Raw genomic sequence first — 25,892 nt, 5'->3', positions numbered from 1 at the left:
ATTAATGCAAAATGGAAGGTGATGATATGTCACACACATCCTTCTGCTTCCTGCAGCAGTTTCGCTGTGTGCTGTGTCAAAACAAAAACAACAACATCAAAAAGGAAACAAAAAACCAGTAAAGAGTGATGGGGAGGACACTTCTTGGAATAATTCCCTTGGATGCCCGTTGCGGGTTAAGTCAGAGATGAACTGACTTGGGAAAGGAGCTGAGGAAGAAATCCAAGAATTCAAGAAAGGAGGTGCTGGAACTCAGGCTGTATTTCCGCAGGTGCATGGAATCTCGCCTGTTTCACTCTGGTAAATTACTCATACTAGCTCCTACTACCATGAGGAAACACAGTCTTCAGAAGTTGACAATTAGCAAATTAGAGAATTGCAAAGCCTGTTTTACCCTGAGAACCTGAACCCTTTCTTATTCCTGAAGGGCTTTCCATCAAGGAGTCTGTGTGGTGGGCAAGAGACTGGATCAATTGAAAATAACAGAAATTGTCACAGTGTTCTTCTAGCAACTGTCACTCACCATAACTATCCCACCCGAGGCTTAACCAGAACCCTCCCTTCCAAGAGCTGAAGTCGCCCTGAGAAAGAATGAACCCGATACCTGTCCACCCCCACAGGGGCCATCAGGTTGCCATGGAGCTGGGCTGTCTGAGTCTTGGTCCAGCCTGTTCCTGGCCCTCATCTGGGGCCCTAATGTATGTCTTAAACGCTACCTCTCTCACCATCTAAATATGAAGAGGAAGAAAAGAGAAGCTGATTCCTGGGGCTAAGGCATTTTAGTGTGGAAGCCAAGTAAAGGCCTCAGAGTCACTCTTGTCTTCTGTCTTTGCTGTTTCACTCCAGTCTCAAAAGCAATCCTGGTCTTAGGTCTTAGAATCACAGACTGCCGAATGACAGCACCTGCCCTCAGTTCATTTTGCCGCACTTCTTACTTTGACGGTGCCATTTGTGGGATTCCTGTTTGCCCATCTTCCTTTCGTGCCGAGGAGGCAAGTGCATCCCTTCACCAGGCCACCACTGCAGGTGTGTGTGTCAGACTGAGGAACAGCAGGGAGAGGAGAACAGCATATGGTAGGCAGCCCAGGGGAAGCATGCTGGGCCCTTAACCCAGAAGGAGGGTCTCAGTGTGTCCAGTTGCTCATTTCCTTGAAAGAAAACCCAGATGTCCTCTGAGGTGAACCTAGTGATAGTTTTCCCTTGTAGTTTTAAATGTGCTCATTCAAATTAGAATGCTTAGCCATCCGTCCCATATTCCGGCATTTTTCCTTTAATCTATGTTTGCAGGGTTGTGAGTTGTGCTGAATAGTATGAAATGTGTTATTAGTGGACGCACCACTGTTGACCTCAGAGCATGTGACTAGACAGTGCAGGAGGAGATGTTGTCATGTTACTTTGGATATAAAACGTCCCTAGGTGACCTTGTGGGCCTGATCCACGGTGAAAGGTGGGGAGAGGGTACTGGAGCAGGGCAGAGGGACTGGATGAGCCTGCATGGGGAGGAAGGCGTGACTGAGGGAAGACAGCTCAGCCCCCCAGGGGAAACCTGAGTTCAGTGTTGGGGAATGTGAGGACACAATGGCGGGGCAGGATGGCCCTGGCACCAGCGGTGCTGGGGACCGTAGGGGGCCATGCTTTGTGAGAGGCAAACTTGGCTCCAAGGATGTGAGGCTGGGAGCATGGAGGTGAAAAGGCCGAGAGACAGAGGGGAGCTGAGGCAGGCAGGGCAGAGACGGGGGGCCCAGCAGGGCCTGGGGCAAGAAATTAAGGATGGGGCAGGGTACCTCCAGCAACTTAGTCACACTGAGGGGATGGGAGGGGTAGCAAGGGACTGGGTGGGGACAAAGTGACAAGATGGGGAGTAGGGAAGTGGGCACTAGTTTGTGTGTTAATAGGTCAGCAAGTCTTTTAGAGTCCTGGGAAGTAAAATAAAAATTAAAACAACAAAAACAAGCCGGACAGGGCAGCACATTCCTGTAGTCTCAGCCACTAGGTAGGCTGAGGTGGGAGGATCACTTGAGCCCAGGAGGTTGTGTCTGAGCCTCCCAGCTACTCGGGAGGCTGAGGCAGGAGAATCGCTTGAACTCAGGAGGCGGAGGTTGCAGTGAGTCAAGATTGTGCCATTGCACCCCAGCCTAGGCAATAAGGTGAGACTCCATCTCAAAAAAAGATAATAATAATAAGGGGAAAACTCAGAGATGGAATTACATGCACCAGGTGTAGTGTGAGCAAAGGATTAACTTCCTGATACATTCTTGTTTCCCATATATATAGCTATCAAGGTCATCTTTTAGTAATGAGTTAAGTTCTTTCTTTTCCAACTCAAAATTTGTCTGCATCTTTACCCAAATATCCAGATCTGATACTCTAGGCTTGGGCTAATATAGTGGGGTGGAGGAGGCTTGGGTTAAGGTTTAAAGTTCCAAGGGCTGAACCGGAATAAATGGTGTATTTATCAAGGGAAGAGCAAGGCAAAACCAGCAAGTCCAAACCATGGAGGCCTCAACCGAGGTGAGGGGAAAAGTTAGGGAGCCTTAGGAAAGCTCTGAGGAGGGACCCCAATTAGGGGGACCGTAGTTAGGGTATGAGGTTTGTGAGATCAGGACTGGAATTGCTGCAAGAGACCCTATGATTGGGTGGCAGCAGCATGTTGTGGAGATGAGCCTGCTTCCTCAGCCTCTTCCTCTTGTCAGAACCCTTTGCCTCTCCCTACACACGCACACACACATGCATGCACCATGCTACAGAAACCTTTCTCAGTCTTGCCATTCTCTCAAATTATGCGTTGGTCTTCCCTTCATCTTCAGATTCTTTAAAGAGTAATCAAAGTTCCCACTTCTAGCATGATGAAGTGAGGAGGTCAACAAATCTTTCCAAAATGTAACTGTATAGCTGGACAAACCATTTAGCATTCTGCAATTTTACCAAAGGCACGGCACAAATGGGGATGTGTTTAAGAATGAAAGCTGGCCAGGCGCGGTGGCTCACGCCTGTAACCCCAGCACTTTGGGAGGCTGAAGCAGAAGGACCACTTGAGCTCAGGAGTTCAAAAACAGCCTGGGCAACTTGGTGAGACCCCCGTCTGTACAAAAAAAAAATCAAAAAAGGCATGGTGGTGCACACTTGTGGTCCCAGCTACATGGGAGGCTAAGGCGGGAGAATCATTTGAGCCCAGGAGATTGAGGCTGCAGTGAGCTGTGATCACACCACTGCACTCCAACCTGGGCAACAGAGTGAGACAGACCCTGTCCCTAAAGAAAAAAAAGAAGAATTAAAGTGAGCCTTGGATAAGACCAGCCTGTGTCCGTGGCATCTTTGCCCAGGCTGCTACCCCCATTTACCCCAGCTGTTGATAACACACACAGCGGCCCCCAGCAGGGCAGCCTGTGGAGATAAGCTCCCCTGCCACCTCGCTGCAGGGGCTGGAGGCAAGAGTGAGGAAGGTTTTGATTTGCAGCATGGCTAGTTAAGGTGGTGATATCAGTGACCAGGAGGAAGAAAGGCCACTGACTCCTAGCCTGAGGCTCTGGGCCTTTGGAGACGAGCAAACGACCTGCAGATTAGTCATGGATGTAAGAGGGAGCTCCGGGAGGTCGGAGAGCCAGAGGGAGCTTAGTAAACTCTTCACACTACCCAAATGGACTGAAGGCTCATAGCTGGCAGAGATTAGAGCAAGCCCAAGCCATGTCCATATGCCCAGGGCACACAGCCTGTGTGTGTGCCGGTGCCAGTGTTAGGAAGTAAAAGCCGGAACACCCTTGCAAATGGCCCGGGGCGTGCCTCCTCCCCATTGCACATAGATCCAGCAGCAGATGGTGGAAACCATATTGGCTTTAACTGATGTTTGACTGACGAACTATGCAAACAAGAAGCGACCTCTAGGGAGTCAGTCTGAAAAATTAAAGCAAACAAATGCCAACAATAAAACTTAGCAATGACCTGAGTGAGTGCACACTGTGGAGGAGACAGGCTTCCTGCATGGAGTCCAGCCAGGAGACAGTACAGAATGCATGGAGCAGCTATTGGAAGACATTGAAAACTAAATAGTTGCAGGCAGCTTTCCCAAGAAGACCAGAACTTGAAGTACCACCAAACCGGTGGTGAGATAACCATGTTTCCCCTATGGCATCCCGTGACTAACCTGGCAGTGGGCACCAGGGTGCAGATAGAAAGAGCTCCAGAAGATGCCCTCTATTTCTGGCTCAAGTAACGGGAAAAGGGTCTCCTAACATTCCGAGGGAATCCAGAAGTTCGTTCCTCCCCATTTTTCTTTTCCCTGTTCTCTCATACCTCAGCCCACAAGCAGTCCCACAGTGGCACTGGCACCAGCCCCAAGAGGAGCCCAGGAGCCAAGACGCAGGAGGGAACCTTCTCCAACTGACAGAGCTGTGGTCCCAAGAGGGCAGAAACAATCCATGTTGCTTCTCTTCCAATTCAGTCCTCCCACTGCTTGGCTTCAGATGTAGAAATGCATGGTAGAGCCAGATACCGAAAGCCTGTTTTCTGCTTGGAAGACTAAAAAGAGAAGCCTCAGCAAATGAAAGCAACAGGGTAATTGCTGAGAGAGAGTTAATCAGTGAAGCAACCCCATTAACCTGTCTATAAACCCCAGGGCTCATTCTTGAGCTGCTCCTGCATAGATCTCGTCCTGTTCAACACACCAAAGATTGACAGCTGAACTGAGAGACCATCACCCACAGACACAACTGGCCACTGGGTGGTGCACAAGTCAGACAGAACTGAATAGTCCTGTGAAGACTCTGGACACTGAACTGACTTTGGAACCAGACTGCAGAATGGAGGGGTGGGAACTTGTGGCTTGAACCTAATCAGGTAGATTGCCTGGCCAAAATGAAAATACCTATCATCTCCATAGGATTTAATTTCATTCAATGATTTTTTTTTTTTTAGTAAATTTGCAATGTTTTACAGCCTTCCCCAAAATCTAATTCCAAAATATCTCTATCACCCCAACGAGAGACTCCATTCACGTTGGCAGTCACATGCACTCCCAGATTTCCCCTCCACCCAGCCCTTGGCAATCACTAGTCTACTTTCTGTGTCTTTGAGTTTGCCTACTCTGGATATTTCATATAAATGAAATGATATATGAGGTTTTGTGATTGGCACCTTTAATTTAGAATAATGTTTTCAAGGCTGATTCATGTTGTAGTATGCATTGGTACTTCATTATTTTTTATGCAAAAGTAATATTCTATTGTATGGCTATACCACATTTTTCTTTGAGACAGAGATCTCACTATGTCGCCCAGGCTGGAGTTTAGTGGCTCTTCACAGGCCTGATCACAGCTCCTGCATGGATCAAGGAGCATCACTGCAGCTGCAAACTGCAGCTTCAAACTCTCCGGCTCAAGCGACCCTCCTGCCTCAACCTCCCCAGTAGCTGGGCCTACAGGCACGTGTGTCTGTGCCCAATAATACCACATTTTAAAAATCCATCTTCAGTAGATGGAAATTTGGATTGTTTCCACCTTTTACTAATAAAAATAGTACTGCTATAAACATTCATGTATAGGTTTTCTTTTGTTTTTGTTTTTTCTTTTTTGTAGAGATGGGGGTCTCGCTGTGTTGCCCAGGCTGGTCTCAAATTCCTGGACTCAAGTGATCCTCCCATCAAAAACTCCCAAAGTGCTGGGATTACAGGCGTGAGCCACTATGCCTGGCCTGTATACAAGTTTTTGTGTAGACATGTTTACATCCAATTAATGAACACAGGATGTCTTTCCATTGATTTAGCTCCTCTTTAATTTCCTTCAACAGTGTTCTGTAGTTTCCAGTCTACAAGTCTTACACTTTTGGGTTAAATTTATTCATAATTATTTTATTATTTTTGATAATATTATAAATGGAATTGTTTACTTAATTTTACTTGAATTGTTCCTTGCTGGTGTATAAGTAGACATCTCATTTTTTTAGTTGACCTCGTATGGTACAATCTCTTTGAACTCATTTATTATCACTGATAGTTTAGGTCTTTTTTTTTCGAGGTTTCATTAAGGTTTTCTATAGATAAGATCATGTCAAGACACCCTCAGACCACAGGGCGGCGCCACGAGCCCGGCCGAGTGCAGCTGGAGCGCCGACGTCGCCGAGGATACACAGTGCTGAGGCAGAACGCAGGTTCGTCACAGTGGGCCTCCGTGGGCGGCGCCGCACGCTCGTCACAGTGGGCCTCCGCCGGCTACGCCGCTGCTTCAGTGGCTTGCAGGCACTTTCCTCTTGGAAGTGGCGACTGCTGCGGGGCTGAGCGGTGCTCGCACGCGTCTCGGGAGCCAGGTTGGCGGCGCGATGAGGCGCAGCAAGGCCGATGTGGAGCGGTACGTCGCCTCGGTGCTGGGTCTCACCCCGTCGCCTCGACAGGTGAGTGGGTCTCGAAGAGAGCGACGGCGGCCTCGACCCGGCCGGGGGGGGAGGGGGGGGGCGGCGGCGGCGGCCGCCTCGATGGCTCAGGCGTCATGTCTCCCGAGGGGCGCTGCTCCGTGGCGCGCTCTGTTGAGGCGCCGGCCGGCTGGCGCAGTCCTGTGGGCGGCGTGGCGCTTGCAAGCGCAGGAAGAGTCCTGGGGGGACCGCGGCGGGCGGGAGACCGTTGGCGCCGGCGCTTCCTCTTAATCCCGGCTTGTTCCCGACGCTTGTTCCCGACGGTGCTCGCTCCTGGGCCCGTCCTGGCCCGGGCTTTCTGGCCGATCGCGCACCCCGTAGTACCCGCGCGGCCTAGTTCTCGGGGGCTTGGGCACCCGGGTGCTGTATCGGCGGGTTTCTTCCCATCTCCTGGACATTTACTTTATATGCTGCGGCGGAGGTCGTACCTCCTTGGCCTGGAGGAACCCAGTGGGGACTGACGCAGCTCCGGGTGAGCTTTGGCGGCTGCGTCGAGTGACAAGGTAGGCATCTCAGCGCGGACATTTGCAATGGCCCGACGGCGCAAATGACACGGAAAGTCCCCTTGTTTTGAGTATGAGGTGTTTGTCGCTGTCCCTTTGTAAGGGTCCAGCTCCACTCCACTCCTCATACTCACCTCCCTCGCCCCCCTCCCCGCCCGGAACACTTTGGTAGCTGCCTTTGCTTAAAAAAAAAAAATTCTAAAGTTCTTACAAATCGTTAGTATGGCTTGCAATTTTTAACCTTTTCCACAGATGTTTTAAGGGTATTTTTCCTCTTTACATGTAAATAATGCTGAGATTACAGGTGTGAGCCACTCTGCTCAGCCTGATTTTTTTTTTTTTAAACAAGCTTAAAAAAAAAAAAAGCAAGTTTGGAGCCTTTCTGAGATTCTTAGTGGGGACCTTGGCTTCCAAAAGATTAAAAACCACTGGTCTAGACAGAAGTTAGAATGTTCTTTCAACTACATAACTTCTCCATTAAATAAAGTGGAGTGGTGGCAGAATTTTGACGATTGGTTATTATGACACCTCTCTTACATTTAGAGTCTTTTTTTTCCCCCAAATTTAAAGTCATTTACATTAGAACCTGGGGATTTCAGCGGAATATGGATTAACTAGTGAGTAACTGGAACATGTGAAGCTATTCTGTGAAGTTAGGTTTGAGTGAAATGACAAAACAGGGTGCTTTGGATAGAAGGTAAAGAATGGAGGGAGAAGAGGCAGTGGCTGTGAAGAATATGAAGAGGTTAGTATTCTCCCCCAGTTTGGCAGAGGCTGGCCATCTGTGAACTGCCCATGCTTTCTAGAATGTCGGAGTTTTGGAGTGTGATGATGCGTCTGTATATCATATCTTTCTAGTCTTCCATTGCGCTTTCATTTGTTAGTCTCCTCTTGTTTTGCCATTTTTCTACTCCCTCACATGTGCTTTTGCCCTTCTTAAAAATATTCTTCGTCTGTAATCCGAGCATTTTGGGAGGCCGAGAGACCAGCCTGACCAATATGGTGAAAATCCGTCTCTATTAAAAATACAAAAATGAGCCGGGCGTGGTGGCAGCGCCTGTAGTCCCACCTACTCGGTAGGCTGAGACAGGAGAATTGCTTGAACCCTGGAGGCAGAGGTTGTGGTGAGCAGAGATTGCGCCACTGCACTCCAGCCTGTGTGACAGAGCGAGACTCTGTCTCCAAAAAAGAAAAAAAGAAAAAAAATATAATTCTTTCTCTAGTTTTTCTTTTTCCAGATGGCTTCTGTTTAGTTTTTCTATGTTCTGTCAAGTCGGTTTCTTATTCTGCAGCTGATTCCTACTTCTCAAAGTCTACTTGACAGCTCTTATTTTTATTTGTATTTTTTTTAGAATAGGGTCTTGCTGTGTTGCCCATCAAATTTTTGGGCATAAATGATCCTCCTACCTCTGTCTGCTGAGTACTTAGGACTACAGGCAGGCACCTTTGACAGCTGTTAGTTGTTTTTTCTGCCCTTTACATCTATACTTCATACTTCTGAGTAACACACATATATACTTTTGTTATTTTTAATTCCCTTTCTCCCATTTTAGACATTTTCTTTTCTTTTCTTTTCTTTTTTTTTTTGAGACGGAGTCTCGCTCTATCGTCCAGGCTGGAGTGCAGTGTCGCGATCTCGGCTCACTGCAAACTCTGCCTCCGGGGTTCACGCCATTCTCCTGCCCCAGCCTGTAGCTGGGACTACAGGCACCCGCCACAACACTCGGCTAATTTTTTAGCATTTTTAGTAGAGACGGGGTTTCACCGTGTTAGCCAGGATAGTCTCGATCTCCTGACCTCATGATCCGCCCGCCTCAGCCTCCCAAAGTGCTGGGATTACAGGCGTGAGCCACCGCGCCCGGCCCCATTTTAGACATTCTGTACTGGCTATTATGCTCCTCCAAAACTGTCCTCAGACACTTTGGTTTGCCCCTCATTCTTTCAGTACTGTTACTGCAGTTTTTGTTTAAATGAATAGTTAACATTTATATAAATAGAAGGTAAATATTTTTGCATTTGAATTGCCCTTGTTGTGCAGTTTTTTGTTGTTTTTTTTTTATTATACTTTAAGTTTTAGGGTACATGTGCACATTGTGCAGGTTAGTTACATATGTATACATGTGCCATGCTGGTGTGCTGCACCCACGTTTTCCTGGACTGAATAATTGCTTTATTTTTTGGTTTGCTTGTATGTTGTGTTACTACTTGCTTACTTAAACTCAGCAATTTAAACCCTCAAATGTGGTCAAACTGGTCAGATAATCCCATCAATTTCAGCTTAAAACACTGATTGATTGATTGATTGTCTGTCTACCTGGAATACCCTTACTAACCAACTTCTCCAACCCGGATTGGTTTTTCTTCCTCTTTGCTACACAGCTGTGCTCTTGGGACTTCCCTTTATCACCAGTTTGAGAATTCCCTTCATCTTTTTTCTGAGTTAGACCCTTTGTTTCTTGTATCTCATGTCCTCTTCATTTACTTTCTTTGTTTTGGTGTAGCATAGTCTCACTTGCTTTGAGGAAAAGTGGATGAGAGGTTTTTTTGTTTGTTTTTGTTATGGGACAGAGTCTTGCTCTGTTGCCCAGGCTGGAGTGCAGTGGCATGGTCTCAGCTCACCGCAACCTCCGCCTCCCAGGTTCAAGTGATTCTCCTGCCTCAGCCTCCCGAGTAGCGGGATTACAGGTGTGCGCCAGCATGCCCGGCTAATTTTTTCTATTTTTAGTAGAGATGGGATTTCACCATACTGGTCAGGCTGGTCTAGAAACTAATGGTATGTCTTTAAAACATCTTTACTTAATTTAGTTGATCATTTGGTTATCGAATTCTGAGTTTCAAATAATTTTTTTCGCAATTTTGAAAGCATTGCTTCATTTTCTAGAAGTTCTGTTGTTAGGAGTCCCATGAGATTCTTGTTCTTGGTAACTTAAAGGTTTTCTGGAAGTGTCCTTTCAATTGGGAAACTCATTTCTTTCAGTTCTGTAGCATTTCTTGTATTATTTCTTTAACCATTTCTTACCCTTTTTTTTAATGATGTTTACCTGAAAGCTGGAGTTTCTCTAATTTTTCTCTTATTCTCCTCTTTTGTTTGTTCTGCCTTTTGAGAGATTTCCTTACCCTTATGTTCCAGGGGAAGAAGATTGGGGAACTCATGGTTCAGTATCTAGACTTTTCCTCATTGTCCTGTATAATCACGGCCTTCACCCTTGTTGGGACTCCACAGATTTGGAGCTGATCAGATGGGTTTGTTGAGAACAGCAGCTTTTTTGGAGGATTTTAGGGGGAGGGAGATTCATTTGATTGTGCAAGATGGGCGACAGGGTGAGACTCCGTTTGAATTAAAAAAAAAAGAGAGAGAAATTTAGAACTGCATAATGAAAAAGTAGGCCACAAATATTAAGTTTTGGACAATTACAATTACATCTCTATCTTACTGTGCAAGATAGCGATGATGTGGCATCTCTTAGGGTCTTACTGTTCCTGTTTTCAGCCCTGCATCAGTTCTTGATATTTGACAGCTTAAGTGAATTCAGGTATTTGCTTATAGTGACATCTGCTGTCATGTAAAGAAGTACTGCTTGCATCAGATATTGTCCTGTTTACATAACATGGGCTGTGCTCCTTTCTAGCTGTATATCTTTAAACAAGGCATTTGCCTGCTTGAGCTTCAGTTCCCTTGTAAAGTGAGCAGGTTAGAGGCAAAAGATCATATAGAAGAATAATTTGTAAAGTTGTTTAATTATCTTAAGATTGTCTACTTTAATAACATAGTTGGAAGCAAAGAAGGTAATGGAATTATTTTTCTATTATGTTTTAACATAGTTGGAAGCAAAGAAGGTAATGGAATTATTTTTCTATTATGTTTTGGCATTGTACCTTGAATCTATTTCTTCATTTTGAAAAGGGGGAACTGGCGGGCTCGGTGGCTGATGCCTGTAATCCCAGCACTTTGGGAGGCGGAAGAAGTCAGATCACAAGGTCGAGAGATCGACACCATCTTGGCCAACATGGTGAAACCCCATCTCTACTGAAAATACAAAAATTAGCTGGGCATGGTGGCATGCGCCTGTAGTCCCAGCTTGTACCCGGGACGCAGAGGTTGCAGTGAGCTGAGATCGAGCCACCGCACTCCAGCCTGGCGACAGAGCAAGACTCCATCTCAAAAAAAAAAAAAAAAAAAGGAAGGGGGGAACAGGCCTTGTTCCTTTATGTGCTGTCCTGACTGTTGTGTATTATTTTTGTTAAGATTGCTATAGTTCTTTTTTTTTTTTGAGACGGAGTCTTGCTCTGTCGCCAGTGCTGGGATTGCAGGTGTTAGCCTGGCATTGAGCAAGGTTTTGTAATTTAAGCATACAAGTCTCTCACCTCCTTGTTTACATTTATTCCCAGGCATTTTTTTCTTTTAGATGCGATTGTAAATGGAATTGCTTTCTTAATTTCATTTTCTGATTGTTCGTTGCTGGTACAGTAGTCCCTTCTTATCCACAGTATTGCCTTACGTGGTTTTACTTACCTGCGTCACCCGTGGTCCAAAAATATTGAATGGAAGATTATATAAATAAACATTTCATGAGTTTTAAATTGCAAACAGGTCTGAATAACATGATAAAAATCTCACGGCCTCCTGCTCCGTCCTACCCAGGACACGAATCATCCCTTTGTCCAACATATTCATGCTGTATGTGCTCCCCACCCGCTAGTTACATACTAGCCATCTCAGTTATCAGATCAGTTGTTGGAGTATTGCAGTGCTTGTGTTCAAGTAACCTTTATTTTATTTAAAATGGCACCAAAGAGCAAGAATAGTGATGCTGGCAGTTCACATATGCCAGAGAGAAGCCATATAGTGCTTCCTTTAAGTGAAGAGGTGAGTTTTTGACTTAGGAAAGAAAAAAGATCATATACTGGGGTTGCTGAGATCTATGGTAAGAACAAATCTTTTGTCCATGAAATTGTGAAGAAGGAAAAAGAAATTTGTGCTAGTTTTGTTGTGACACCCCAAACTGCAAAAGTTACAGCCACAGTGTGTGATAAGTGCTTAGTTGAGATGGACAAGACATTAAATTTGTGGGTGGAGGACACAAACAGGAAGCATGTTTCGATTGATGGCAACCTGGTTTGGTACTATTCATCGTTTTTGGACATTCACTGGGGTCTTGGAATTTCAAAAATAAGATGTTTGAGTAGCTGTATACTCTATCACATGGATGGAACATACTCTGGTTGTATCAGCATTTTTTTTTTTTTTTGAGATGGAATCATTCTGTTGCCCAGGTTGGAGTGCAGTGGTGCGATCTTGGCCCACTGCAGCCTCTGCCTCCCGGGTTCAAGCGATTCTTTGCCTCAGCCTCCCAAGCAGCGGGGATTACAGGCGTGTGCCACCATGCCCAGCTAATTTTTGTATTTTTAGTAGAAAGGAGGTTTCTGTATGTTGGCCAGGCTGGTCTCGAACTCTTGGCTTCAAGTGATCCACCCGCCTCAGTCTCCGAAAGTGCTGGGATTACAGATGTGAGCCACCGCACCCAGCCTGGTGTGCATCAGCATTTTGGACTTTGGAGTTTATGTAACCAAGGATCCAGGCTGTGGACCTCGTTTATTACTTGAAGAATTCAATATTTATTTCTGCCTTTTTGACTCCTTGACTGTAAAATACTGATCTGATCTGTAGAGAGAACAGTACATGGACCCGGGAATCCTCAGTGCCTTAATAGATCCTAAGTACTTACTTATTCTTTCCCATAGAGGCTTACACATGGTAGGAGAAGAGATTTCTGGAATACCTTTCCTCCCCAAAGAAAGCTGGTTTCTTTTGTTTGTTAAGTGAGAGAGTGGTACCACAGGGTTTCCAAGATTTCCAAGGCTGATGAAAATTCTTAACTTCTGTTGTCTGCTTGTCTTGCTTTCTTGAATTTATTTTTTGTATGTTATGTATTTATTATTTAGAGAGAGGATCTCCCTGTGTCACCCAGGCTGGAGTGCAGTGTTACAGTCATAACTCACGGCAGTGTCAACCTCCTGGGCTCAAGTGATTCTCCTTCCTTGGCCTCCTGAGTAGCTAGGAACACAGGCATGCTCCACTATGCCTGGCTATTTTTTTCCCCCTGGAGACAGGATCTTGTTGTGTTGCACAGGCTGGTTTCAAACTCTTGGCCTCAAAGCTAGCCTCCCACCTTGGTCTCTGAAAGTGCTAGAATTAAATAGAATTAAAGGTGTGACCAACTGCACCCAGCTTATTTATGATGATGATGATGATGATGATGATGATGATGATGATGATGTTTGGGAGATGGAGTCTCTGTCGCCCAGGCTGGAGTGCAATGGCACGATCTCAGCTGACTGCAACCTCTGGCTCACTGCAACCTCCACCTCCTGGGTTCAACTGATTTTTGTGCCTTAGCCTCCTGAGTAGCTGGGATTACAGGCACCCGCCATCATGCCTGGCTAATTTTTCTATTTTTGTAGAGACGGGGTTTCACCATGTTAGCCAGGCTGGTCTCAAACTCCTGACCTCAGGTGATCCGCCCACTTCGGCCTCCCAAAGTGCTGGGATTACAGGCATGAGCTGCTGCACCCAGCTCTATTTTTTGTTTTGTGGTAGGAAATTATAAAACATGGAATTATGCATTTGTCAGGCTTTAACTACTTTTGAAAAAATGTTGGAAAATATTTCTGTATGAAACGTAAAACAACTTTTAATTTTTTTTTAGAAGTCAATGAAAGGATTCTATTTTGCAAAGCTGTATTATGAAGCTAAAGAATATGATCTTGCTAAAAAGTAAGTACAAACCGTAACATGTATTCTTTTTTTTAAAATCAATGCCTTTTCTCATTTTCTTCTTTGAAATAGGTAAAAATATGTCCTTAGTAGTTCTTCCTAAGTGTATTCTGGAATAAGGGATTTATCACTCAGACTGATGCTAAGGACCAGCCTAGATTCCATTGAGATTGAAACTGTAATTAGTGTTTTCTGCATGCTGCTGCTTTATACCAAGGGCAAGAAATTGTTTGGCTTAAAACACTTTTTCTAAAAATTGTCTTCTGTTGGAGTAAAAGAGGACCATGCCTATATCTTAATTTGTTTTTGGTTAGATATCTGATACCTTAATCAGATGGAAAATAGCAATGAATAAAAAATTAAACTGTAATTGTAAGGCAGGAGAATAGCTTGTATAAAAGATCTTTAACTGACACAATATGTGATGCTCTAAGGCTCTATCCTAGGGATGAGAAGCTTGGTGATTCTGATTTCCTGGCTGGGAGTGGATTAAAGCAGGAAATTAAGAGGGAGGCAGGCTTTTTTTTTTTTTTTAGGCAGTATCTGTCTCTCTTGCTCCGGCTGGAGTGCAGCAGCTGGCTCCATCTTTGCTCACTGTAACCTCTGCCTTCTGGGCTCAAGCGATCTTCCCACCTCAGCGCCCCAAGTAGCTGGGGATACAGATGCGCACCACCACGTGGACCTGGCTAAGGTTTGCATTTTTTGGTAGAGACAGGTGTCACTATGTTGCCCAGGCTAGTCTTGAACTTCTGAGCACAGCAGTCTGCCTGCCTCGGCCTCCCATAGTGTTGGGACTACAGGTGTGTGTTACTGCTCCCAGCTGGGAGGCAGGCTTTTAAAGGCATCCAAAGGAAGATGGAAATGCTGGTAAGAAAGGAAAATGGTGGTACATAAATTATGTAACTAGCAGCACTGTGACTGTTAACTCTTGTACCTTTTTACTGTGAGACTTTAATCCCTTAGTTTAGGTCTGGCCTAATTTCTCTGATCGTAATACTGTCAAGGAACCTAGAGGATATTTACTTATTTTAGTTGTTACTTGATTTGAGAAATGGAAATTTCCTGTATTTGGTACTGTAATTAGTAATTTTTCTTCTGTTCGATTTTAGCTGGATATAGTACTGTTAGAAATTACTTTCTTGCTTAAAGGGTAAATGTATTTCCCTTTGTTGTTTGGGAAATTGTTGCTGTTTAGTATTTTGCATTATGATAACTTTAAAAATGTTTATTATAATCACTTCTAATTTATTGGCAAAACTGTTAGTGCTTTATTAAAATGTGATCAGGAAGAAAAAGCAATCTATATGTTCATTTCTTATGTGTGGTTAACACTGGAGAAAAATTTGGTAAATGTGACATTTAATGGTAAAATGAGTATGTGGTCAACTCTATGTACGTGTTTTTAAGTATTACCCATTTCTTTCTATGAATACTTTTGAGTTATCTGCATAAATAGTGGTAGTTTTGAGTAACAATATAAACGAGTTTAGTGGTTGCTTTGGTTTAAGATGTATTCTTCGGTTAGCATTTAAAAGTACAGTTCTAAGTTTAATTTACTTTTGTATTACTTTTAAAAAACAGATACATATGTACTTACATTAATGTGCAAGAGAGGGATCCCAAAGCTCACAGATTTCTGGGTCTTCTTTATGAATTGGAAGAAAACACAGAGAAAGCCGTTGAATGTTACAGGGTAAGTTATAAGATTCAAATATAGCCTTTGCGTAGCCAAACACATGATGCCCAGAGAAATTTATATAAGTAAGTCAAATATATTTTATGAATATCATAAAACAGGCATTGGTATCATAGTACAATTATGTGATACAGCTTGGAACAGATTTAGAATTGTTTAACACCTATAAATTGTAAGTCTAACACGGTCAGAAATGGTGTTCTTTTGTGTTTTTTGCATTCAAATGACACAAATATAATTTTTATTTGATTCATTTCTAGAAAATTCCAAGACACTTTTATTTTAACACCTTTAAAGTAACATGTTTTCTCTAGAAGTAGAATTTTTTAAGGGTTGGAGTGATAATTTTTAACCTTTATGTATAAGTATATATACTCCTACATACATACATACAATTTATTTACTAATCTTTAATTTCTTTTCTGATATTAGCGTTCAGTGGAATTAAACCCAACACAAAAAGATCTTGTGTTGAAGATTGCAGAATTGCTTTGTAAAAATGATGTTACTGATGGAAGAGCAAAATACTGGGTCGAAAGAGCAGCAAAACTTTTCCCAGGAAGTCCTGCAATTTATAAACTAAAGGTAAACAAACAAAACATAAAGGGAGAAAACTTAAGACATAACCATTTCTAATATTTGGAGTTTAAATTACTTTTCAATAGCAAACCTTAAGCTCAGGTGTTTGTGTTTCCTTTAACATTTTTCTTTTAAAAAGTGTATTAAAACCTTTCTGAGCATCTACTGTCTTATTAGGCATTGTTATACTTTATAAGTGACATCTCATTTACCCTTCTGGAATAATTAATATTTTAGGGATTTTACAGTTTAGTAGCTGTAAACTAAGTAGAGCTAAGATTTACATTAAGTTCTGTCTGATATACAATTTTTGCTTCATTAAGTGAAAATTACCTACAGGATGACAATTTAGGGATATTTTAAAGAAGAGTTTTCTGATAACTATTGTCTGAAAGTAGAAGGGATTGTATTTTGAGATAGTAAGGTTTTCAAGCAAAAGATAAAAGGTGGTTTCTGTAGTATATAAGACGTAATTACTAAAAATGGTAGGAAGTTCTTGCTAGTGTGTTGACTGGTCCTGATATTCTTTATAGAGTAAAATATAGTTTACTAAGTAACTGTTCTGGAGAAATCTACACAAATATGTTTGGCAAACATTTAAAATGTATATTGTAATGTTTTATATATTAATGTATACTTTATTGTGTGTGTACAATATAAAATTATAAATGTATATTTGCCTTTAGCTTCCTCCTACCCCCATCATATATGTTTCTGATAGAAATTTAAAAAATTTTAATTTTGAAATAATTATAGATTTTTTTGCACAGGAAGTTGCAAAGTTTGCACAGAAAGATCCTATATGCTACTTCATTTTTCCCCAATGCTTATACAGGTTGAGCATTTAAAATCCGAAATCCTAAATGCTCCAAAATCTGAAATTTTTTGAGCACTGACATGATGCTCAAAGAAATGCTCATTGGAAAATTTTGGATTTCAGATTTTCAGATTTGGGATGCTCTATCTGCTAAGTATCCTGCAAATATTCTAAAGTCTGAAAAAGTTCAAAATCTGAAATACTTCTGGTCTCAAGCATTTTGGATAAGGGATACTCAACCTGTTTAACCTGACCAAAGCACAGTATCAAAATCAGGAATTTTGACATTGGTACAATGTGTATGTATAGTTTTCTTTCATTTTATCACGTGTAGATTCATACCACCACTGCCGTCAAGATACAGAACTACTCTGTTACCACAGAGATCTTCCTCATGCTGCCCCTTTTGTAGTCATGCTATTTACTTCTCTTCACTATGCCTGACCTCTGGCAACCATTAATCTGTTCTCCATCTTTATACTTTGGTGATTTCAAAATGTTATGTAAATGTCATCATGAAATGTGTGACTTTTTTTTTCTTTTTTCATTGTTTTTGAGACGGAGTCTCGCTCTGTTGCCCAGGTTGGAGTTCACTGGCGCAATCTCGGCTCACTGCCACCTCCGCCTCCCAGGTTCAAGCGATTCTCCTGCCTCGGCCTTCCGGGTAGCTGGGACTACAGGCACATGTTACCATGTCCCGCTTATTTTTGTATTTTTAGTAGAAACTGGCTGGTCTCGAACTCCTGACCTCCTGTGATCTGCCCACCCCAGCCTCCCAAAGTGCTAGGATTACAGGCGTGAGCCACCGCGGCCAGCCAAGCATGTGACCTTTTGAGGTTGGCTTGTTCAGTCAGCATAATACCATTTGTGATCCATATTAAGTTTTGTATATCCATAGTTGGTTCCTTTACTTCTGAGTAGTATTTCATGGTCCACAATTTAACCATTCACTTTTTTTTTTTTTTTTTTTTTTTTGAGACAGAGTCTTGCTCTGTTGCCCATGCTGGAGTGCAGTGGTGCTACCTCGGCTCACTGCAACTTCTGCCTCCCGGGTTCTCAGGTGATCCACCCACTTTGGCCTCCCAAAGTGCTGGGATTACAGGTGTGAGCCACTGTGCCCAGCCTTAACCATTCACTTTTGAGGGGCATTTTGGTTATTTCTAGGTTTTGGCTATTGTTCAACTGCTATGAACAATCATGTACAGATTTTTGAAGCTGAAAAAGCATTGAAGATGCTTCCAAAGATAAATATTACTGATAAGTTTTTCTCCCCAGTAATAAGCAGCTGGATTTTAAATGTTAGTCTAAAGCGTGAGGTCTAATTGTGCAGATTTCTTTACTCTCTTAGGTGTTATGCCTCAAACATAACTCCCATATTGGGCGTGGCAATCCAGTTAATCTGGTGTCAGTAGTGTTAAAGAACATATGTAATGGCAGGAGATTCTTTTCTTGCAGTGTAACAAGTTAGATACTTTGAAGCACTCTTTAAAGATTTTCTTTAATAACTTGAAGGCACTGTTACACCTTTCCTGTATCAGATTTTTTTTTTTTTGGAATTGAAATCCATGAGATTTATAACTGTCATGCAAAGTAATTCCATTTCTCCTAAAATTTAAGGCTTGCTAAGGTAAACAGTTTCTGACATTTGTTTAATGAATGAGAGTATTACTGTTGAGAAGGCTTTTTCTCTCAAGTATGAGATAGAACTTTTTAAAAGCACTCATAGTGGTTTTTAAAAAAATGTTTAACATAGAGTCAAAGACTAGGGCTTTTGCAATAGGGAGAGGCCAGGGTTTCATCCATCTCATCCAGAAGAGGAGAAATTGATAAAGGAGAGAGGGGAATGAAATACAGAGTACTAATGGGCGGCTTGGTCTTGAGAGTTGGGGAAAGACGAGTTTAAGTAGGTAAGGTAAAATGGAATTTATATGTGATAGCATCAGGTTTCTCAGTGAAGGATGAATCTAGGTTATAAGTTGAAAGTGAGGGTCAAAGGAAGGTATGGGGAAGTTGAGGAAATAGGAGGAGGTGTGAAGTGTCAGGGAGTGGAGAAAGTGAGTCTGTTAGTACTAAAATGGTATTTTGTTTTAGGCAGCACCAGTTTGATGGTTGAGATAATGCAAATGAAATCAGTTAGCTTGGGGTTATGATTTCCCAAATCTAAGCACACAGAAACCAGTTGGGAGGGTTCTTCTGAGGAAAAGAGGGAATTAGTTGAAGGGATCTGTAAGCAAACAGTAATTATGGATATAAGGGATTATAGCATTTTTTGCCTGACAGAAGAAAGTGTGTGTATTTATATGTGTTTACAGGTGTTTAAAACTTGATGATGTTATTGTCTTGAAGGGAACTTGTCATATGGTGGAGAAGTATATTTCTGAAAGTAAGGGTATGTAGGCCCTCAGTGAGGTGGAAGAATAAGAAGGGTGGTATGGTGGTTTCGGTGGTATGACCAAAATGCAGATTTTGAAGACCTGTGTCAGTGGCAAGTGGATGGTTGAGGTTGGAGTAGAGGATAACATCACTGGAGATGAGGTGATTAAGGAACTGAGTAGTCAGCCTGGGCAACACGGCAAGACCCCATCTCTACAGAACGTTAAAAAAAAATTAGCCGGGCATGGTGGTGCATGCCTATGGTCCTAGCTTCTTGAGAGGCTGATGGAAGAGCATCGCAAATGAGAAGCGAGTGGCCACAAACCCTACTTCCTCTCCTCGTATGTAAGTTCAGAGAGAAAAAGCCATCATGGTAGTGGGGGTTATCCTGAGATGATACTGTCTTCATTTAAGGTCAGGAGGTGATGACAGTGCTTTGAGATGATGATAAAGGTAACAGAACAGTGGGAGGAGAGGGGATGCAGGATTGAATCAGATTTAAGGAGATACAGAGCAGTTTGAACATAAGGACCTTGTTGCTGAGGATTGACTGGGGAGGTCTAGGCTTCTGGTGGTGACTCAGATGGACAGGAATGTGTGGCATTAGTCCTGGTAGTCTCTGAAGAGAGTATGAGCTACTGCAGTAATCACAGATGCTTTTCTTCACATACAGTTCTTGAGGCTTAGTTTCTGGGTTGTAAGCAACTCTCAGAAGGGACGAATAAGGTATTTAGGATGGTGTTTTTGGTGGCATCATCATAAAACTAGACATAGTGGAATGGTGCTTTTTGGGAGCATGACTTGTTTAAAGTTGCACAAGTGTTACTCTAATAATTTTTCTTTTTCCTCTCTAAATAGGAACAGCTTCTAGATTGTGAAGGTGAAGATGGATGGAATAAACTTTTTGACTTGATTCAGTCAGAACTTTATGTAAGACCTGATGACGTCCATGTGAACATCCGGCTAGTGGAGTTGTATCGCTCAACTAAAAGATTGAAGGATGCTGTGGCCCACTGCCATGAGGCAGAGAGGAACATAGCTTTGCGTTCAAGTTTAGAGTGGAATTCGTGTGTTGTACAGACCCTTAAGGTAGATAAAAGCTATTGAGTCTTTACATTTCTATGTAGGCAATTAGCATACATCTTTTTGTACTAAAGCAGCAGTGCCCCGCAGGACTTAAATTTCTTTTATTTATGTAGAACAGTTATAAAATGAAATTTTTACCAGGATCAGTTAAATTTATAATGGGAAGATTGGGGAGATAACTATGATAAATGTATATATTTTTGGTGTTTTCATTTATAAGGTTGATGTAAAAATCAATGTAGTTTCACAAATGTGGTTGGAGTGAGAAAAGGAATTTGTAGGCATAAAATGGTTAATTACTTAACACTTGATTAAGTTTTGTAACTTACTATTCATTCCACAAAATAGGAATATCTGGAGTCTTTACAGTGTTTGGAGTCTGATAAAAGTGACTGGCAAGCAACCAATACAGACTTACTGCTGGCCTATGCTAATCTTATGCTTCTTACGCTTTCCACTAGAGATGTGCAGGAAAATAGAGAATTACTGGAAAGGTGCGTAGACTTTGAGGAGAATGCTTTAGTACAAATTGCAGTTTTTCTTTTTGCAGTAAGTTCATTGCTCTAAATTTCTTCACTGAATCATTATTTCTATAATGTACCTAGGAGTTATAGTTAATACAGTGAACCACTAGGAGGCAATCTTATTTTTCTTCTTTTACAGGGAAGTTCTAATTGGTTTTATATGACTTTCCTTTTTAGAGAACTCTTATAGTTCAAGCTTGATTAAAATTAGCCTTATGGTTACTCAGTTTTGTCATAGTCAAGCTTAAAATGAATGTTCTAACTGCTATTTCATATTTTATTTTTTTATAATAGTATAATCTTTAGTGAAAATTAAAGTTCATCTGTCATCAGATGGCTAGGTTCACATGTACTAGTATAAGCACTTAGCATCACTGGTATTTCAGAAAATACTGTTTTAGCTAAGAAACAAAATAACTCAACTATGTGATTTACCTTTTTTCCTAAATTTTGATTTTGAAAACCAGTGTCTCCATTTTGAAAATAAATTCCATTGAACAAAAACATCACTTGGATTTGTATAAAGATGTTAGTTTAGAGCAGGGGTTGATTAGAACTTGTGGGCCAAATATGGCCCCTGCCTAATTTTGTTAATATTTATTGGAATGCAGCTTGCCTCTGTTTATGTATTGTCTGTGGCTGCTTACATACTACAGGGTTGGAGTTGAGTGGTTGCAGCAGAGATTGTATGCCTGTAAAGCCAGATTAGTAATCTCCTCCTTTTGTAGAAAAAGTTTACTGATTGCTAATTTAGGCTGTCCATTTGTTTGGAAGTTAATTTATTTCCCCATCTGGTATAAGGAAAGAAGTTCATTTCACTGAGTGCAGGGAGTAGGTAATTTTCTTGAAAAAGTACATAGTGTCCTAAATTGGTAGGGTAAGAGCAGTACCTAAAAGAACTAACATAACTTTATTTTAGAAAACATGTAGGATGTTTTATTTTGTGTTCTTTGTATACTCAAATTTTTTGGTCACAAGTTCCTTTTACATTTTTCTTAAGGACATCAAAGATCTTTGTATGTGGGTTCCTTTTTTTCTTTCTTTCTTTTTTTTTTTTTTTTTTTTTTTGAGATGGAGTCTTGCTCTGTCACCAGGCTGGAGTGCAGTGGCACGACCTTGGCTCACTGTAACCTCCGCCTCCCGGGTTCAGGCGATTCTCCTGCCTCAGCCTCCCAAGTAGCTGGGACCACGGGCACACACCACTACGCCCAGCTAATTTTTGTATTTTTAGTAGAGACGGGGTTCAGGATGGTCTCAATCTCTCTTTTTTTTTTTTGAGACTGAGTCTTGCTCTCGCCAGGTTGGCATGCAGTGGTGCAGTCTCGGCTCACTGCAACCTCTGCCTCCTGGGTTCAAGTGATTCTCTTGTCTCTGCCTCCTGAATAGGTGGGACTACATGTGCCCGACACCACACCTGGCTAATTTTTTTTTTTTTTTTTTGAGACAGAGTCTTGCTCTGTCACCCAGCCTGGAGTACAGTGGCACAATCTCGGCTCACTGCAAGCTTCACAATTTCCTCTCAATGCTCTGAATAAGAGCTTATCCTCCTGCCTCAGGTTGTTCCCCACCAGGAAGCCCCAGGAGGGCCCTGAGGACAGCCCTTGGCCCTCAGAGGGGGAGGCTCAGGAGGGGAAATGACCATGGGGATGGAGTCACTCAGGGGAGAATCTGGACCATGATGGGGTGACTTGGGGGCCTGAGGGGAGGACCCTGAGGAAGATAAAAAGCTGGTGCCACCCTAGGCAGTTTCACAGTGTGGCTTAGGGCTGTGGGTGACAGATGGTTTGTCAGATCAGTTAATCAGGCCTCATGGGCCCTTTGTTACCCGCCTTGTGAACCTCCCAGGTTCACGCCATTCTTCTGCCTCAGCCTCCTGAGTAGCTGGGACTACCTACAGGCGCCCACCACCACGCTCGGCTAATTTTTTTTGTATTTTTAGTAGAGACGGAGTGTCACCGTGTTAGCCAGGATGGTCTCGATCTCCTGACCTCGTGATCTGCCCTCCTCGGCCTCCCGAAGTGTTGGGATTACAGGCGTGAGCCACCGCGCCCAGCCCACACCTGGCTAGTTTTTGTATTTTTAGTAGAAACAGGGTTTCATCATGTTGGCCAGGATGGTCTCGATCTTTTTTTTTTTTTGAGATGGAGTCTCGCTCTGTTGCCCAGGCTGGAGTGCAGTGGCGCCATCTCGGCTCACTGCAAGCTCTGTCTCCAGGGTTCATGCCATTCTCCTGCCTCAGCCTCCCGAGTAGCTGGGCCTACAGGTGCCCGCCACCACACCCAGCTAATTTTTTGTATTTTTAGTAGAGATGGGGTTTCACCGTGTTAGCCAGGATGGTCTTGATATCCTGACCTTGTGATCCGCCTGCCTCAGCCTCCCAAAGTGCTGGGATTACAGGCATGAGCCACCACGCCCGGCTGGTCTCGGTCTCTTGACCTCTTGATCCGTCTACCTTGGCCTCCCAAAGTACTGGAAGGTCTCAATCTCTTGACCTCGTGATCCGCCTGCCTTGGCCTTCCAAAGTGCTGGGATTGCAGGTCTGAGCCACTGCATCCGGCCGTATGTGGGTTATTTCTGTCAGTGTTTATTACATTAGAAATTAAAACAAAAAATGTAATCCATTAAAAATGTAATAAGCCCTATTGTGTGTTAATAATAATAGCTTTTTTTTTTTTTTTTTTGAGACGGAGTTTTGCTCTTGTTGCCCAGGCTAGAGTGCAACAGTGTGATCTCGGATCACTGCAACCTCTGCTTCCCAGGTTCAAGCGATTCTCCTGCCTCAGCCTCCCAAGTAGCTGGAATTACAGGTGCCCACCACCACGCCTGGCTAATTTTTTGTATTTTTAGTAGAGATGGGGTTTCACCATGTTGGCTAGGCTGGTCTTGAACTCCTGACCTCAGGTGATCCACCCGCCTCGGCCTCCCAAAGTGCTGGAATTACATGTGTGAGCCACCGCGCAGGGCCAATAATAGCATTTTTTATGAAAAATAACTATTTCCCAACAGCAAAAAAGTAGTCAGAAAAGTGTCATTGTTTTTGCATTTTTGTAAATCTTTTTAATGTCTCGCTTAATAGAACATAGCTAGATTCTCATTTACTTCCTCTTTCAGTCTGTAAAACTATTACATGTCATGAAGCCTCTAGAAAACTCAGCTCAGCGGGGCGCGGTGGCTCAGGCCTGTAATCCCAGCACTTTGGGAGGCCGAGGCGGGTGGATCACGAAGTCAGGAGATCGAGACCATCCCAGCTAACAATGGTGAAACCTTGTCTCTACTAAAAATACAAAAAATTAGCCGGGCATGTTGGTACACGCCTATAGTCCCAGCTGCTCGGGAGGCTGAGGCAGAAGAATCGCTTGAACCTGGGAGTCAGAGGTTGCAGTAAGCCAAGATTGTGCCACTGCACTCCAGCCTTGTGACAGAGTGAGATTCTGTCTCCAAAAACAAAAACAAAAAAAGTCAGCTCTACATACATGAGAAAATGAGTATGTAATATATAAATTTTTTTTGGTATTATTGTAAAAGTAATTTTAACTTCATGGATCCCCTGAAGGGGTTTTTGAGCACCCTCAGAGATCTTTAGACCTCACTTGCTCTGGTTGCTTTATTGTAAGCCACTTTAAAATCATGCTTCACGTTTAAGTGTTTGCTTTTTGCTTTTACTTTTCTTCCAAAGTGAGGATTTGGAGAAACATTAGGATTTAGAAGAACTAATTTAGAATATAGATTACAAATAGTAGGCCAGACATAGTGGCTCATGCCTGTAATCCCAGCACATTGGTAAACTGAGGCGGGCGGATCGTGAGGTCAGGAGTTCGAGACCAGCCTGGCCAACATAGTGAAACCCTGTCTCTACTAAAAATATAAAAAAAGTTTAGCGGGGCATGGTGGCAGGTGCCTGTAATCCCAGCTACTCAGGAGGCTGAGTCGGGAGAATCACTTGAACCTGGGAGGTGGAGGTTGCAGTGAGCTTAGATCGTGCCATTGCACTCCAGCCCAGGCGATAGTGAGAGACTCCGTCTCAAAAAAAAAAAAAAAAGACAATTTATTTAACGCTGTAATGATCTATATAGTAAAAAGAGCAATTGCTGTATTGATACTCAAATACCTGTCAGTTATTTACTTATAATTTGGAAATGGTATGTCTAATTTGAGAAATTACAACTGTTAATTAAATAATGAAATTATATGATCAGGAAGAAACTACAAAATAGTCTCCCAACTTTATCCTGGTTTATTTTGAAATGTGCACCTATAATCACTAATCTTATATTTATTCTGTGATTGGAGGGCTGGAAATAACTGGGAATAAGACATCATTTGAGAGGTTAAGCATGAAGTATAGGAAGTATGCAGGATAAAAATAAGCATTAGATGATTCATAATTTATAACATGGGGAATAAGAATTATTAGAAGTTGAATGTGGAAGATGAAGCTTGAAATAAAATTTTTATTTTGTTTTGAATTAAATCAACCATGATTATTCACAGTGCAGTAAGTGTGTATCATCTGTTTGATATTTTCATATTACAGTTTTGATAGTGCTCTTCAGTCTGCGAAATCTTCTTTGGGTGGAAATGATGAACTGTCAGCTACTTTCTTAGAAATGAAAGGACATTTCTATATGTATGCTGGTTCTCTGCTCTTGAAGATGGGTCAGCATGGTAATAATGTTCAATGGCGAGCTCTTTCTGAGCTGGCTGCATTGTGCTATCTCATAGCATTTCAGGTAAGTCTTCCACTTGTAGGAGCAATTGACATTTCACGGAGTCTTGATGTGTTTTAAATGAAGGTGTGCTCTGGTATGTAATGACAATATGTGAACAAACCTGTGGAATTAAAGTTAAAATGAAATAGTCAATTTGATACAGTGGAAAATAACTAAGCATACACAATACTGGTGAGGCTGGTGAAACAGGGATGTTGAATGCACTCTTGTCGAAAGCCTGCATTGCCATGATTTGTTTGTAGACAAATTTGAAGAGTTTGATCTTTTTACTCTGCCATTTTTGGGAACATGATAAAGATGTAATCTCGTATTATGGGTAAAGCTTGATTCAAAAAGATGTGTTACTTGGACAAAATCCTAATAAGTAGACGTAGGGCAATGGCTTTATAGCCTATGATAGAAGAATATGA

At 42.5% G+C, this 25,892-nt stretch overlaps 1 protein-coding gene across 19 annotated transcripts in view, besides 1 other annotated feature; it reads left to right on the top strand.

Moving 5' to 3' along the window:
- The window catches only part of RGPD6 (RANBP2 like and GRIP domain containing 6), a 97,255-nt gene that overhangs the window by 27,723 nt on the left and 43,640 nt on the right, over window positions 1–25,892 (top strand). For 6 of the 19 annotated variants that reach the window (NM_001384363.1, XM_047445731.1, XM_017004839.2 and 3 more), the window contains exons 2-7: window positions 13,610–13,677; window positions 15,259–15,370; window positions 15,806–15,958; window positions 20,001–20,231; window positions 20,577–20,722; window positions 25,287–25,482. In NM_001384363.1, the coding sequence (NP_001371292.1) occupies window positions 13,610–13,677; window positions 15,259–15,370; window positions 15,806–15,958; window positions 20,001–20,231; window positions 20,577–20,722; window positions 25,287–25,482 (906 nt within the window). Of the gene's footprint in view, window positions 1–6,111; window positions 6,382–6,432; window positions 6,903–13,609; window positions 13,678–15,258; window positions 15,371–15,805; window positions 15,959–20,000; window positions 20,232–20,576; window positions 20,723–25,286; window positions 25,483–25,892 lie in introns of those variants that run through there. The other 13 variants (NM_001386163.1, NM_001123363.4, XM_047445732.1 and 10 more) reach the window with 10 other exon arrangements.
- Window positions 1,136–1,636: an enhancer, noted in NCBI's record as "H3K4me1 hESC enhancer chr2:111339275-111339775 (GRCh37/hg19 assembly coordinates)". NCBI's record gives its function as "activates a minimal SCP1, AML or CMV promoter by ChIP-STARR-seq in primed H9 embryonic stem cells {active_cell/tissue: H9 hESC(primed)}" and the evidence as "EXISTENCE:reporter gene assay evidence [ECO:0000049][PMID:30033119]".

The sequence above is a fragment of the Homo sapiens genome, chromosome 2 (assembly GCF_000001405.40).
Source record: "Homo sapiens chromosome 2, GRCh38.p14 Primary Assembly".
Classification (NCBI taxonomy): Eukaryota; Metazoa; Chordata; class Mammalia; order Primates; family Hominidae; genus Homo; species Homo sapiens.
This window is presented reverse-complemented; position numbering and strand designations above follow the sequence as displayed.